Source organism: Homo sapiens, chromosome 4, assembly GCF_000001405.40.
Source record: "Homo sapiens chromosome 4, GRCh38.p14 Primary Assembly".
Taxonomy (NCBI): domain Eukaryota; kingdom Metazoa; phylum Chordata; class Mammalia; order Primates; family Hominidae; genus Homo; species Homo sapiens.
The window spans coordinates 143,981,297-143,994,557 of record NC_000004.12 but is presented as its reverse complement, the minus strand read 5'-3'; the positions used below and the strand labels follow the sequence as shown (position 1 = coordinate 143,994,557).

Genomic DNA, 13,261 nt, shown 5'->3' with positions numbered 1-13,261 from the left:
ATGCTCAGGTCAATCATTTCGCAGTGAAGAATATACCATTTCTCAAACTGCCTTCTTTCCAAATTTTATGACTAGAGTTCAGCCTGAGTTCCAGAATCAGCTGATGAACATCACTCAATGGAGCATATTAACTAGAATTGTTGTCTCCATCTGGGTCTCTTCCAAATGGTCTTGTCAAATGCAATCAGAGCATCATATATTAGAGAATATGTTATATCAGCCTCCACTTAAGTTACTCATAGATTGTCCTTGACCCTTCTCATGGCTCTTCTCTCTTGTAGGTGGTATTATTGGTAACATAATTTGCTCTGACAAAAGCAAATAAAGGAAATTTTAGACCTGTATTATTCAACTGGATAAAACTGAAGGTTCAGAAGTGATTGCAAATATTGCCAACCAGGTGAAAATTATTTCCATTCTCAGCTGAACGCTATTACCTTTAAATCAAAAGTAATCAGTTTAATATAAGTCTTACCTAAGTCTATTAAACATTTTCTAGGCCTACCAAAGCATAAAAATGGTGAATATTTTAATGTCCTCAGATTAAAGTATCCCCATCTCTGAATATTTTGAAATTTTAAAAAGAAATCACTAAAAGGTGACCAGCAGCATTTATTCTTACTAAAAAGAATGGATGAGATGGCATGGAATATAGTAACACCCCCACAGCTTGTCTCGCTGTCTCTACTCTTGTTTTTTATATTCCCTCCTTCACAGAGCAATTTTTTCAAACTATCAATTAGATCATGTATTTCTCCTACTTAAAATCTCCAGTAGGTTTTTCACTGCACCAGAATAAAATCACCACTTGTTAGCATGCTCTCTGAAGTTCTGACCTGTCCACATGCTCAGGTCACCTGGCCTGCCCCTCTCAACCTGCTCCCACTCTCTCCTGTCTTTAGGTTGCAACCACTGAACTTTTCCCCAAAACTCCAACATACTAAGCTTGCTCCTTTCTTAGGAACTTTGTTCTAATTTTTTCTCCTTTTTTTGCTTCATATCTTTGCTTGACTGCCTCCATATTATTCCTGTCTCACACCTTCAAAGAAAATTCTGATGACAGTATTTTTCATCTGCTTTGTTTACTATGCATCCTCAGAGCCCAGAATAATGGCTAGAACACAGGAAAACTCAGTAAGATTTCATTGAATGAAATAGGTCTTCCCTGCCTACCCAACGCAAAGCAGCTTGTAGTCTTCTTCCTTCCTTCCCATTAATTTCTCTTTCATTTTCTTCCTGTATTTTTTTCATAGCACTCAGCTCCCAAGACTACCCTCTTTATGTGTATAACTGGTTATTGGCAAGTCTCAATTCAGTAGGGTAAAAAAAATTAATTCTTTAAATTTGCTCATACTGCATGGAATGTACTTTTCCTATTTCTTATTTCTATTCCCTAGAAACATCTTGGGGAGATACGAAACTTTCTGGTCTTTTTTGTTATTAAAATTTCAAAACACCAATCTTATATGTAAATGAAAGCTATACAGCTACTTTCTTTTTTCTAGGTTTTCATGCCTCTGGGATTGGGATTAGAGAAAGAAAGCAAAGAAAGGACATTTTTTACTTCACTGTTCACAGTGTAATCGTGTGCCTAACGGCTGTAGCTACTAACTTGGCTTACATTGACTGACCACTAAGGGACTCTAGGAGTCAGAATCTAAATGCTGAGTGTCTCAAAGGTGTAGAGAGAATTTCAGAGGGCCTTACCATGACATGGGGATTAAACTCCAGTTCTGCCCAATTCTCGTCACGAAATCCTTATCCCGTGCCTCTTTGTGTTTGGTGTCCCCTTGCCTAGGGGACAGTTTTCCTGGGTAACATCAGCAAGATAACACTTCAGTCACATTCCATTTGATACTTTGAATACTCTGGGGTCCTTACCCACCAAATGGATGGAGTTCAGCTGCTCAATCACTGCCTTTCTCAGAACTCTGTTGTCCAACCACAATTCCCTTCCCCTACTCACGTAGGGATAGGGCTATATTGGCAAAATGCCGCCCGAACAGCCTGCTGACAGTAAACCAAATATTAGTTTCTCTCACCTTCTTGAAGGCATTTACAGTCTTTGTAAGCTTTTCTCCTAATTTTCCCTTTCCCGTTCCTGCTTAGATTCTAAGAATGAAGTGCATCCTTCTCCTTTTCTTCATCAGGTGAAGTGGGATTTACCCATTACCATATATTCACCACCAGGTCACTGACGAGAGACTCCAGTGAATCTCTTCCCCTCTGCATTCCTCTCCTTGTACAGACTAGAGGGTCACATTGTGTAAAGCCTAACATAGCCCTGCAAAAAGATCTGGCCCCCGCAGTGAGCACAAGCTCAGTAATTCTCTTTAGAGTGAGGGGGTAATCAGTGCCTCTTGGTTTCAGCTGTGGTCCTAGTGGCTAATTATGGAAGGATAGGAATAGTCTCACAACATCCTGTAACATTGGCTTACCTGTATATTATACACCACCCATAACAATAAAGATGCCAGGATTTAGGTTCCTTGAAGGTAATGACTATGGGTCCCTCTCTGTGGAAGAATAGTGAATAGAAGAGAGAAATCACTCAATATGTGGAATGACTAATATGGTTTGACTGTGTTCCCACTCAAATCTCATCTTGAATTGTAGTTCCAATAATCCCCACATGTCATGGGAGGAACCCAGTGGGAGGTACTTGAATCATTGCGGTGGTTTCCCCTGTGCTATTCTCATGATAGTGAGTAAATTCTCACATAATCTGATAGTTTTATAAAGGAGCTTCCCCCTTCACTCAGCTCTCATTCTTCTCCTTCCTGCCACTATGTAAGAAAGATGTGTTTGTTTCCCCTTTGGTCATGATTGTAAGTATCCTAAGACCTTCCAAGCCATGCAAAACTGTAGATCAACTAAACCTCTTTCCTTTATAAATTACACAGTCTTGGGCAGTTTTTTATAGCAGCATGAGAACAGACTAATACAGTAAGTTGGTACTAGAGGTGGGGTGCTGCTATAAGGATACCTAAAAATGCAGAAGTGACTTTGGAACTGGATAACAGACAGCCTGTGAAAGCAGCCGAGAGCGGGGTTGTACTATGCAAAGCCACAGGAGCGGAGCTTCCCAAGACTGTGGGAGCCCACCTCTTGCATCAGCATTAACTGGATGTGAGACATGGAGTCCAAAGAGATTATTAAGGTGCTTTAAGATTTAATTACTGCCCCACTGGATTTCAGACTTGCATGGGCCTGTAGCCCCTGTTTTTGGCCAATTGCTCCTATTTAGAGTGGGTGCATTTACCCATTGCCTATACCCTCATTGTATCTAGGAAGTAACTAACTTGCTTTTGATTTTACAGGCTCATAGGTGGAAGGGACTTGCCTTGTCTCAGATGAGACTTTGGACTTGGACTTTTGAGTTAATGCTGGAATGAGTTTAGACTTTGGGGGACTGTTTGGAAGGCATGATTGTGTTTTGAAATGTGAGGACATGAGATTTGGGAGGGGTCAGGGGCATAGTGATGTGGTTTGGCTGTGTCCCCACCCAAATCTCCTCTTGAATTGTAGTTCCCACAATCCCCACGTGTTGTGGGAGGAATGTAGTGGGAGGTAATTGAATCATTGTGGCAGTTTCCCCCATGCTATTTTCATGATAGTGAGCAAATTCTCATGAAATCTGATGGTTTTATAAGGGGCTTCCCCATTTACTTTTGCCATCATGTGAAAAAGGATGTGTTTGCTTCCCCTTCTGCCACGATTGTAAGTTTCCTGAAACCTTCTCAGCCACGCAGAATTGTGAGTCAATTAAACTTCTTTCCTTTATAAATTACCCAGTCTCAGGCACTTCTTTATAGCAGCATGGGAATGAACTAATACAATGACTGACTGACTGGAAAAATTCAAACGTTTTCTCATGACCAATTCAATTTGCTAGAGCAATTAGAAGATCACACCTCAAAAGTATTCAGTACATTCATACTGTTTTTCAAAACATTTAACTTGTTCAAAACTCATTTCACATTCTGACCAATAAACTTCTATTCAACTTCTTATGCACATGCATTTCAAATTGCATCATTTTCAACCTCACTCCTTTTAAAATGTAAATTAAAACAACAGAAAATTTATCCATTATCTATGAAACCTACAAAGTGGTATTTCTAAGATAATATCCAATGTGCTAAGGCTGCAGTAAATTCTTATTGTTGTTATGGTAATGTAACTTGGTGCAATCTTTTAGAAGGAAATTTGCATATATATTCCAGCACCTCCAAGATACTCATAGAAACTAAAACTCTAACAAGTATTAAAAGCGTAGCAGGCAGACATATGTTGTTACATACCGATTGCTTCTTCCTATATCACACACTCATCTGAACTTCTTTATTGTATAAGACTGATACATTTTTCCCTATTACTTATACCAGCAACTACAAGAAAATTGAATCTACAGACAAGCTAAAAATAAAGTTACTTTTATAAAACCATGTTAAACATTTGGATGGGTCAAATAGAATGAAATGAAATAAATAACTGCTGCTGAAAATATAAAGAAAAAGTGACCAAAAGCAAAATGGTCTTGAAGGAAAACTTTGAAAGAGATGTATAGGAAGACCTCAGCTTTTGCCTGTATCGTCCTACCATGTGAAGATTGATTAAAGCAATAAACAAAGTTTTATGGCAGATAGAGGGGACTCTATGGTGCACATATTGGCCCCAGGTAAGAAAACATCATCTGGAGAGGTCCTTTCTCCTCAGATACTGTGATATTTTTAGTGGTTTATTCTACAAACTTCAAGTGTGAAGAAAAGGGGCAATAATGTGTTTATATATCAAGTACTTGAGACTGCTTGCTAGAGGCAATCACAGTTCTTATAAAAAGAGCTGTTTGCAAAACTGCAAGGAGAGATATGGCAGTTATTTTACTTTAGTTGTTTGTGTTAAACACTAAGGAAAGTGTCATAAGGATGTAAGAAACCAAAACAATTGAATAAAATGTAAAAATTACAGTCCATTCTTGCAACAGTTCCTCATTTATTTCTAACAAAATAGCTCCTATCAATCTCAAACTCACCATTAACACCTCTTACCTAATAAAAAGGATAAAATAATAAATCACTTGTAAATATCAAACAATAGCAGAGCAATTAAAAACAGATAAGTGAAAATGGTAATTTAAATGTTTCTTAAAGAAATTTAAAATGAGAAGATGGAGGCTTGAGAAAATATTTACAAATTCCATCTATTTGAAATCTGCTTAAATGAAGAAAGAGAATGAAGAAAAGTATAAAATAAACAACAATCTACTCTGAAATTTAAGAAACAACACAACCTCATACAAGAAACTCTGCAGAATATCTGCTTTGGGCCAAAAAGAAAGAAGGTACTGGAGAGTTGGCATAGCATTCCCACCTGAGGGCACCAAACAGAGCTACAAAAAGAAAGTAGAGGAAATTAGAAGGATCCCACTACAGATTTCTATTTATCCAGTCCAAAATATCAATAGTGCCAAGGTTGAACAGCCTCCATCTAGAAGAATAAATGTGTGTTAATAGTCAGAAAAATTATGAAAATGAAGAACAATGAGTGGGAACTTCTTCAGCCAGGAATTATAATATAGAGTTATATTAAGCATTAATTGAAGGAACATTCTGGGTAAAGAAATATATATTCAGATAAGTGAAATATAACAATTCATTTGTAAATTCAAATACATGTAATAATTTAGTGTCATGAAGAAAGCAGCTTTCAAATCAATATAAAAAGATAGATTGTTTACCATATTCAGAAAACTTGTCAGATACTCAAGAAGAAAAAAATGGATCTCTACTACTCATTCTTTACAACATAAAATATTTCACATAATTAAGGTTAAGATACTAAAATAAAAACAGGAAAGCACTAAAAGAAAATATGGATAAAGTCTTTTAGTTTTAGCAATTAAAGACTCCCTTGGCAGACACAGAAACTCTAAACACATGGTAAGTCTACTTTTATTTGAGGGGAAAATAGGAACAGAGGATGTTGTTGATACTTAGTGGCTTGGGTTTTAAGGTAACAATCAATCAATCAATCAATGTACTGTAACTTTACTAAAAGTCACCTACTGTTTGAAAGTAAAATTTTTAAAACATAAATAGATAAGCTGAAAGTAAGGGATGGAAAAAAAAGATGTCTGAGGAAAATAACAACTGAAATAATGCTAGTGACTTCCTTTGATGTTGGCAATATTCTCGATCTTGATCTGGGTGGTGGGTACATGGCTGTATACATTAGAAAAAAATTATCAAACTCTATTCTTAAGATCAGTGCCTTACATGCTCTTTATTGTATGGGTATTATATGTCAATAAATAGGTAAAGAGGCTGTAAAAATACAGAAATTTCATGTAGCTATATTAATAACAAATACAATAGATGATAGATAAAGCATTTTCAAAGATAAAGAGGCTGCTACGTAATGACAAAAAGGAATCATCTTGGAAATAATGTCAGAGGCATTTGAACCAGAGTGCCTCCATCTTGGATAGGGGCCTGGTAAAATAAGGCTGAGACCTGCTGGGCTGCATTCCCAGGCAGTTAGGCATTCTAAGTCACAAGATGAGATGGGAGGTTGGCACAAGATACAGGTTATAAAGACCTTGCTGATAAAACAAGTTGCAGTCAAGAAGCTGGCCAAAACCCACCAAAACCAAGATGGTAATCTGACCTCTGGTTGTCCTAACTGCTATACTCCCAACAGCACCATGACAGTTTACAAATGCCATGGCAACGTCCAGAAGTTACCCTATATGGTCTAAAAAGGGGAGGCATGAATAATCCACCCCTCGTTTAACATGTTGAAACAGGAGAGTTCCCTGACCCCCAACTCACAGGACATGCAACACGGGTGTGGTTTTTCTGTTTGGGCACCATGAGCTCAAACCCCTTATGGGAGGGAGAGCATGCAGATAGGCAGGTGCAAGAGCTGGAGAAAGTGCTTTTGGGCTCCAGCCCCATGGTAGGATCTAAGGGTGGGTGTCTGCAACTCCCAAAGCCCCAGTGCGCATGTTACAGTGCCTCTTAGCTCTGCTGTCCACAGATGGCTTAAGTGTTAATCAGCTCAGTGACCTCTTGGTATCCAGATCCTTGTCCGGTGTCCAGGAAGAATCAGGTCACACACAGACTTGAAGGATGGTGAATATGGGACTTTTATTGAGTGGTGGAGGTGGCTGTCAGTGGGATGGATGGAGAGCTGGAAAGGGGATGGAGTGGAAAGATGATCTTCCCCTAGAGTTTGGCTCTTCCATGGCCTATCTCCTCTCCAACTGTCCCCAGCTGAACTCCTCTTGACATTTAGACATTCCTTCTCTTCTCTCCTTCTCTGCTGCACCACTCTTCTGCTCCTCTGATCTTCTGCTCATGGAGCCTGAGGTTTAGGGTTTACATGGGTATAGGATGGGGGGCGTGGCAGGCCAAAAAGCAACATTAAGGTGTGAAAACAGGAATGCCTGTTCAAATTTAGGGCCATGGATTTCCAAGCTTGAGGGTGGTGTCTTTGCCAGGGAACCGCCCCCTTCTCCCCAATATTTCCTTGCCTCCTGTTCATACCAATATAATCAAGAAATAACCATAAAAATGGGCAATCAGTAGCCCTCGGGACTTCCCTGCCTATGAAGTAGCCATTCTTTGTCCTTTACTTTCTTAATAAACATGCTTTCAGTTGATGGACTCACCCTTTCTTTCTTGTGCAAGATCCAAGAATCCTCTTTTGGGGTCTGGATCGGGACCATTTTCCAGTAGCAATAACAGTTTAGAACGTGGATTAGTTTAATAGCCTAACATATATAAAGTAACATAAAGTGAAAAGTTCAAAACATTCAGTAATTGACTTAGAAAGACTAAAAGCTAATTAACTTAATATGAACTCAAGAAGTTAGAAAAAGAACAAGAAGAATAACCAAAACAAAATAAAAGTAGACAAAAGGCGTAATAAAGAACAGAAGTCATTAAAATTGAAAATGAAGTGAAGTGAGCTGCCTGTATGGGAAGCTGCTGGAGGACAGATGGAACAACAGGAGCCAGATTTACCCTGCTGCAGGAAATGACACCAAGCAAACAAACAAAAGATATGAAAACAATGAATTTCAGACATTGGACATCAGTAGCACAGAAGAGTGATTGCCAAGAGAGAGGAAACAAACAAAATGGAGATGAGCTCCATTGTCCAGCTCACAGCCTGGAGGGTTCCCAAGCCCCACTGCAGGGTCTCTCTGAGATGAGGAGGCAGAGCTGATTCTAGGAAAAGCCTGGCGGTTTGAGTTTGCAAGTCAGAGAACCCAAGAGGAAAAGTTGCACAAAGAACTCTAGAAATTTGCAGAGGGCTCCCCTGAAGTCTTTGGCTGAGGTCTAATCAGCACATAGATGTGAGAAAGCTAGACATATATTTCAAAACTTCTTTAATATTGTAACGACCAATGAAAAACTCTTGATCTTATTCTGGGTCTTAACTTTCTCTTTTACAATATAAGGTGTGCAGAGAGAGTGATTTTAGGTGTCATTTAGCACTAAAATGCTCTGACCTTTCTACAAGGTAGCCCTTTCATTGGATACTTTTTTGTCCTTTTGGGGAATATACATGAATATTTTTTGTTCCTGACTCAGGTAAAAGAAAAAGGAACTCAGGCTGTTAAAAGATGGCTTTCATTGTAATGCAGCAGCTCTTCCATTTTCCATGAGTAAGTCTAATTAACATCAAACCTTCCAATCATGACAGAAAAGTGAGGCTTGGCAGAGCATTAGCAAAGTTTTCTCCCTTCTGGAATCAAAAGAATTTAAAGTCAAGAGGAAAGAGTACAAAGAAAAGGGAAAGTAAATGTAGATATCAATTTCAATGACTTAACTTTTCTTTCAGCCTACTTTTTACTTGGGGCAATAAGCCCTGAGGTCTCAGTCAGACTTCCTTCTAACTATTTTCTAGAAATGTAAGAAAGTTCAGGAAAAAGGGGGAAATTTTAGATGATAAAATACTAACTCATTTGTCTTTAATTATTTTATTACTGTTATTAGTGACAAATGTGAGAATCTCAGGTTTACATAAGAATATACATAAACCACAAATCGGTCTTACTGAATTTTCCTGACTGATTTTCAATCTGTTCTAGAAGTGACTATCAAAAACAAAGCTGTACATGTAGATACAATATTTTACAGACTAACACTTTAAAATTGCTATGAACATAGAGGACAAATAAAATTTTGAAGGGACTTATAAAGCAAGTTGACTTTGAAAATGTTCTATAATATTTTTATATTTTTAATATCACCCCCAAGTCAAAGAATGTTAAATGAAACAAGAAAGCCAGTGGAATTTCCCCCTTCCTGACCATGTTGATATTACTGTTTATATCCAAGTGTTCTTGGGTCAGTGTTGAAAAAAAACAAAAAAGCAGAATTGCCTTTACAGAATACATAGAGTCAACTCTGCTTTAGAAAGGTAATCTTTAAGTAGACAGTCCTGTGACATCTTTGCAGCATGAATGGGGCAGTAGCGGGGGAGAGAGGTGGACTGCGAGAACTGAAGAGGTTGTTTAGCTCAGCTCAGGATCTGTGACGGGGGAGTCAGAAGTTATTCTCTCCTGGGTGTTGGGTGGTAGGAGTTGGCACTTTTGGAGATCTCACCATTGTCACTACTCAAGCTTGCAGCCAGCTCTGATCAGAGATATCAGCCCACTCCTCGAGGCAGGATTTACCTGAATCTCTTCATGCTAGGAGCCCATCGTTAGCAATGAAAACCTCTCTCACAACTTAGTTGCCATTGAAACATGTGTTTTCTACATAGCAGGCCAATGTTTATACACCCTTATGGATTTAACCCCATCTGACAACGTAAGAGGTCACTAAACAAAACTTGGTTTCATTTCCAGAGCCACTTGTCTCACCTATTTTGCCCACCTCTGTTCCACACACCCCATCCCACCCCAATTCAAAGAAAGCTTCATTTTCACTTTGCTTTACTAATCTGCCATTCCCTATTTATTCATACACCTGGTTTCTTCTTTGGCTTAGTGTTTCCCTGCTGCACCTTCCTTACCTTGTTTAACTACACTGGACCACTGTTTACACTGTATTTTTAATTGCCTATTTCATTTGTCAGTCTCCCCACCTTAATGGTTTCAAACTCAGGGACTAACTCGTCCTGCTCACCATGGTGTTCATTGCACTTCACATAGTAACTGACATACAGTGGGCATTTATAAACACTCACTGTGTGACTGAATGAATAAGTAAATTAACTAATTAGCTAATTAATTCTCTAGTAAGATCTGATGAAAGATTTACATCAGTTCCTAAAGCAAAGCTTGCAATTACATGGTAAAAATGACATTATTGTTGTTATTACTATTATCACTACTACCATGATAAGCACAACTGGAAAAGCAGTAGATGAGCATAGACATTACTCATATAGATAATCCATATGAAAAAATCCAAAGAAGTTCAAAAGTATCTTCCTCAGAAATATTCTCCCCCAGATATCTATCTACTTGCTATCCCCCAGATTTCATGAGGTTCCTCCCTCATGTCCTTCACATTTACTCCCAAATTGTTTTCAGAGAGGCTCCCTTCATTATCCTTTAAAAAAAGCAATCTCACCTCCTGTCTCCCAGACACACACACACACACACACACACACACACACACACACCTGTAATGAACACAGTGCTACTGGCTGGAAGCTCACTACTGTCAGCCCTCTCTGGGAATTGCCCTCAGCAGAGGAAAGTCATGTCACCAAGGTCACAGTCCCCTTCCCAAAGGACAACTTGCATCCAATTTCTGGTCATTGCAGGAATATAAAGGCCTGGCCTCCATACCCCAAGTCAAGGCAATCGGAAGGCCCATCCCTGCTTTCCAGTTCCCCATGGAGTCGGCAGAGGCCCAACTGTGCCTGCTTTGGAACCCATCTTCTCTCTCTACCCAACCCTACTTCCTTCCTCAGAAGACTTTGAATGAACTTCCTGACTTCAATCTCCATCTCAGATTCTGCTGCCTGCACATCTGACCTACAGAACTTTTCCTTTATTCTGCTTTATTTTTTCTCCATAGCACTTACTACATTTATTGCTCTATCACATACTCATATATCACATATTCATTACTGACCTATTATATATTCATTTTCTACTGTATTATTGGCCCTCTCCCTCCTCCCATTAGATTGTAAGCTCCGGTGGGGCAGGAATTTTGTTTTACTTGCTGCTGTAACCACAGGACTTGGAACACTGAAAGCACTATATAGATTTTCATGACAAATATCAAATAAATGAAAGTTGGGACTTGCAAACATATAGCCTGTTTACATTGCTGTTCCTGAACCCCAGGTTTTACTGTCTGCCAAAAATCCAGAGTACCCTACATTGGTATCCATTAATTAAGATCAGACCAGAAATTAAGAATATTTAAAGGGATTTGCACCAGCACAATTAGGACTATAGCAGCAAGAGTTAACATTTTCAGCGGAACAACTTTTGTCACATTTCTTTAATTTATATAACTTCGATTATAATAGTCATCTTCAGAATAATGATGGCTAGCATTAGCATAAAGTGCTCTGGGTCACAAAGCTTTGCACATATTATTTCATTTAGTTTGATGCTGATGAAACCATGTAAAGGACATAGAATTGTTATGCTAGTTTCACTAATGAGGAGACTAAAGCTCTGAGAGCTTCAATGACTTTTTCAATGACACACCTGATAAATGAGTTCCATCCAGGTCTACTGACTCCAAATCCACTGTTCTATCTCTCAGTACATCACCCTAATAATTCCCTGGAGAGTGACTCCACAAAACTAAAGCTCTTCTACAATACCGATCAGAAAAGCAAAATGGGGCACCTCAGCAACCCAACTAAAAGACATCCTGTATGTAGCTTATTTAAATTTATTCCAAATAATATATTTACTTATGCAACATTCATGAGAATTCTGAGTTGTTTTGGTTTCATTTGTGGGGTTTTTTGCATATATATTTGCAACTGAGAATGAATACCATAGATCAGGACACTTCTTATCTGTTACTTATATAATATCTCTGAACATTCATCGACTCTTTGCTGTTCTGTTAAAGATGTATACTTACTCACCTATGAAAATAGTTACTTTTGATTTTTTCAATGACTTTTATTCTCTCTTTTTTATATTTCAAAGGTAAAAATTGTAAAAATTCATATAAACAAAGAAAATGACATATAGCATTCTCACAAAGACATCACATTATCACATTGTATTTGCATATATTCTTCCAATACTCTCTCCCTCTCTTTCTCTCAATATAATACATATTGTTTTATAAATTTATTTTTTTGAATTATTTTATGTTCTGATGGTATATAAATGCTATCTTCTCATTTGGACATCTAGAAATCGATTAGAATTTTTAAAAAATTTTAAGTAACTTCTCGTCAACAATATAATTACATTGTACGTACACAATGTGATTGTCTTCACCAAATAAATAAATAAAAACCTAAGGCTTACACATTAAAAATAAAAATAAAGGAAATTATATGCTTACCCCTTTTGCGTACCTGATTTCTGTTTACTAGGGCCCAAGAGAAGGTCCAAAACATTCATGTCTTGTGATGGCCTGTCTTAGTCTTACTGGGCTGCCATAATAAACAGATACCACAGACCTGTGTGGGTTTAACAACAGAAATTTATGTCTTCACAGTTTTAGAGGCTGGGAAGTCCAAGATCAAAGTCCAGCAGGGTTTGGTTCTGGTGAGGACTCTCTTCCTGGCTTGTAGACAGCCATCTTCTCGCTGTGTCCTTGCATGGTAGAAAGAGAGGGGGTAAGCTCTCTGGTGTCTCTTCTTATAATGACATTATCCTGTTGGATCAGGTCTCTACCCTTATCACCTCTTTTAACTTCAGTTACTTCCTTAGAGGCTACATCTCCAAATACAGCCACATCATGGGGTAGGGCTTCAATATATACATTTTGTGGGGAGCCACAGACACTTAGTCCACAACAAGGCCCAAGCCTAAAAATAAGAATAGGTCTAAATAATATGCTCTCAAGGAAGGATCTTGGGGACAACCGAATGTACAGAGTTTAGTACCCCAAATCCATGCTAGGCAAGGCATGCTACTATCCAGATAGCAGCTAAGGTGTGACACAGGTTCACACAGTATAGTCAACTTAGCTGCTACTAGTATTATTGCTATTAGTGAGTCACTTTATTGCTTAAGTCTCAAATTTCTTATCTGAAAAATAGGAATAATATGTTCCTCAAAGGACTAGTGTGAGGATTAAAT

General features: G+C 38.3%; 2 long non-coding RNA genes across 2 annotated transcripts in view; one reads left to right on the top strand and one right to left on the bottom strand.

Annotated features, from left to right (window-relative positions):
* On the top strand, positions 315–4,976 carry LOC124900790 (uncharacterized). The gene is made up of 2 exons (XR_007058288.1): positions 315–400; positions 4,389–4,976. It is a non-coding gene; the product is annotated as an uncharacterized LOC124900790 (long non-coding RNA).
* A 7,127-nt stretch (positions 4,977–12,103) lies between these two features.
* LOC101927636 (uncharacterized) overlaps positions 12,104–13,261 on the bottom strand; it is a 70,124-nt gene continuing 68,966 nt past the window's right edge. Inside the window, exon 7 of the long non-coding RNA NR_125886.1 lies at positions 12,104–12,772. This is a non-coding gene — a long non-coding RNA (uncharacterized LOC101927636). The remainder of the gene's footprint in view (positions 12,773–13,261) is intronic.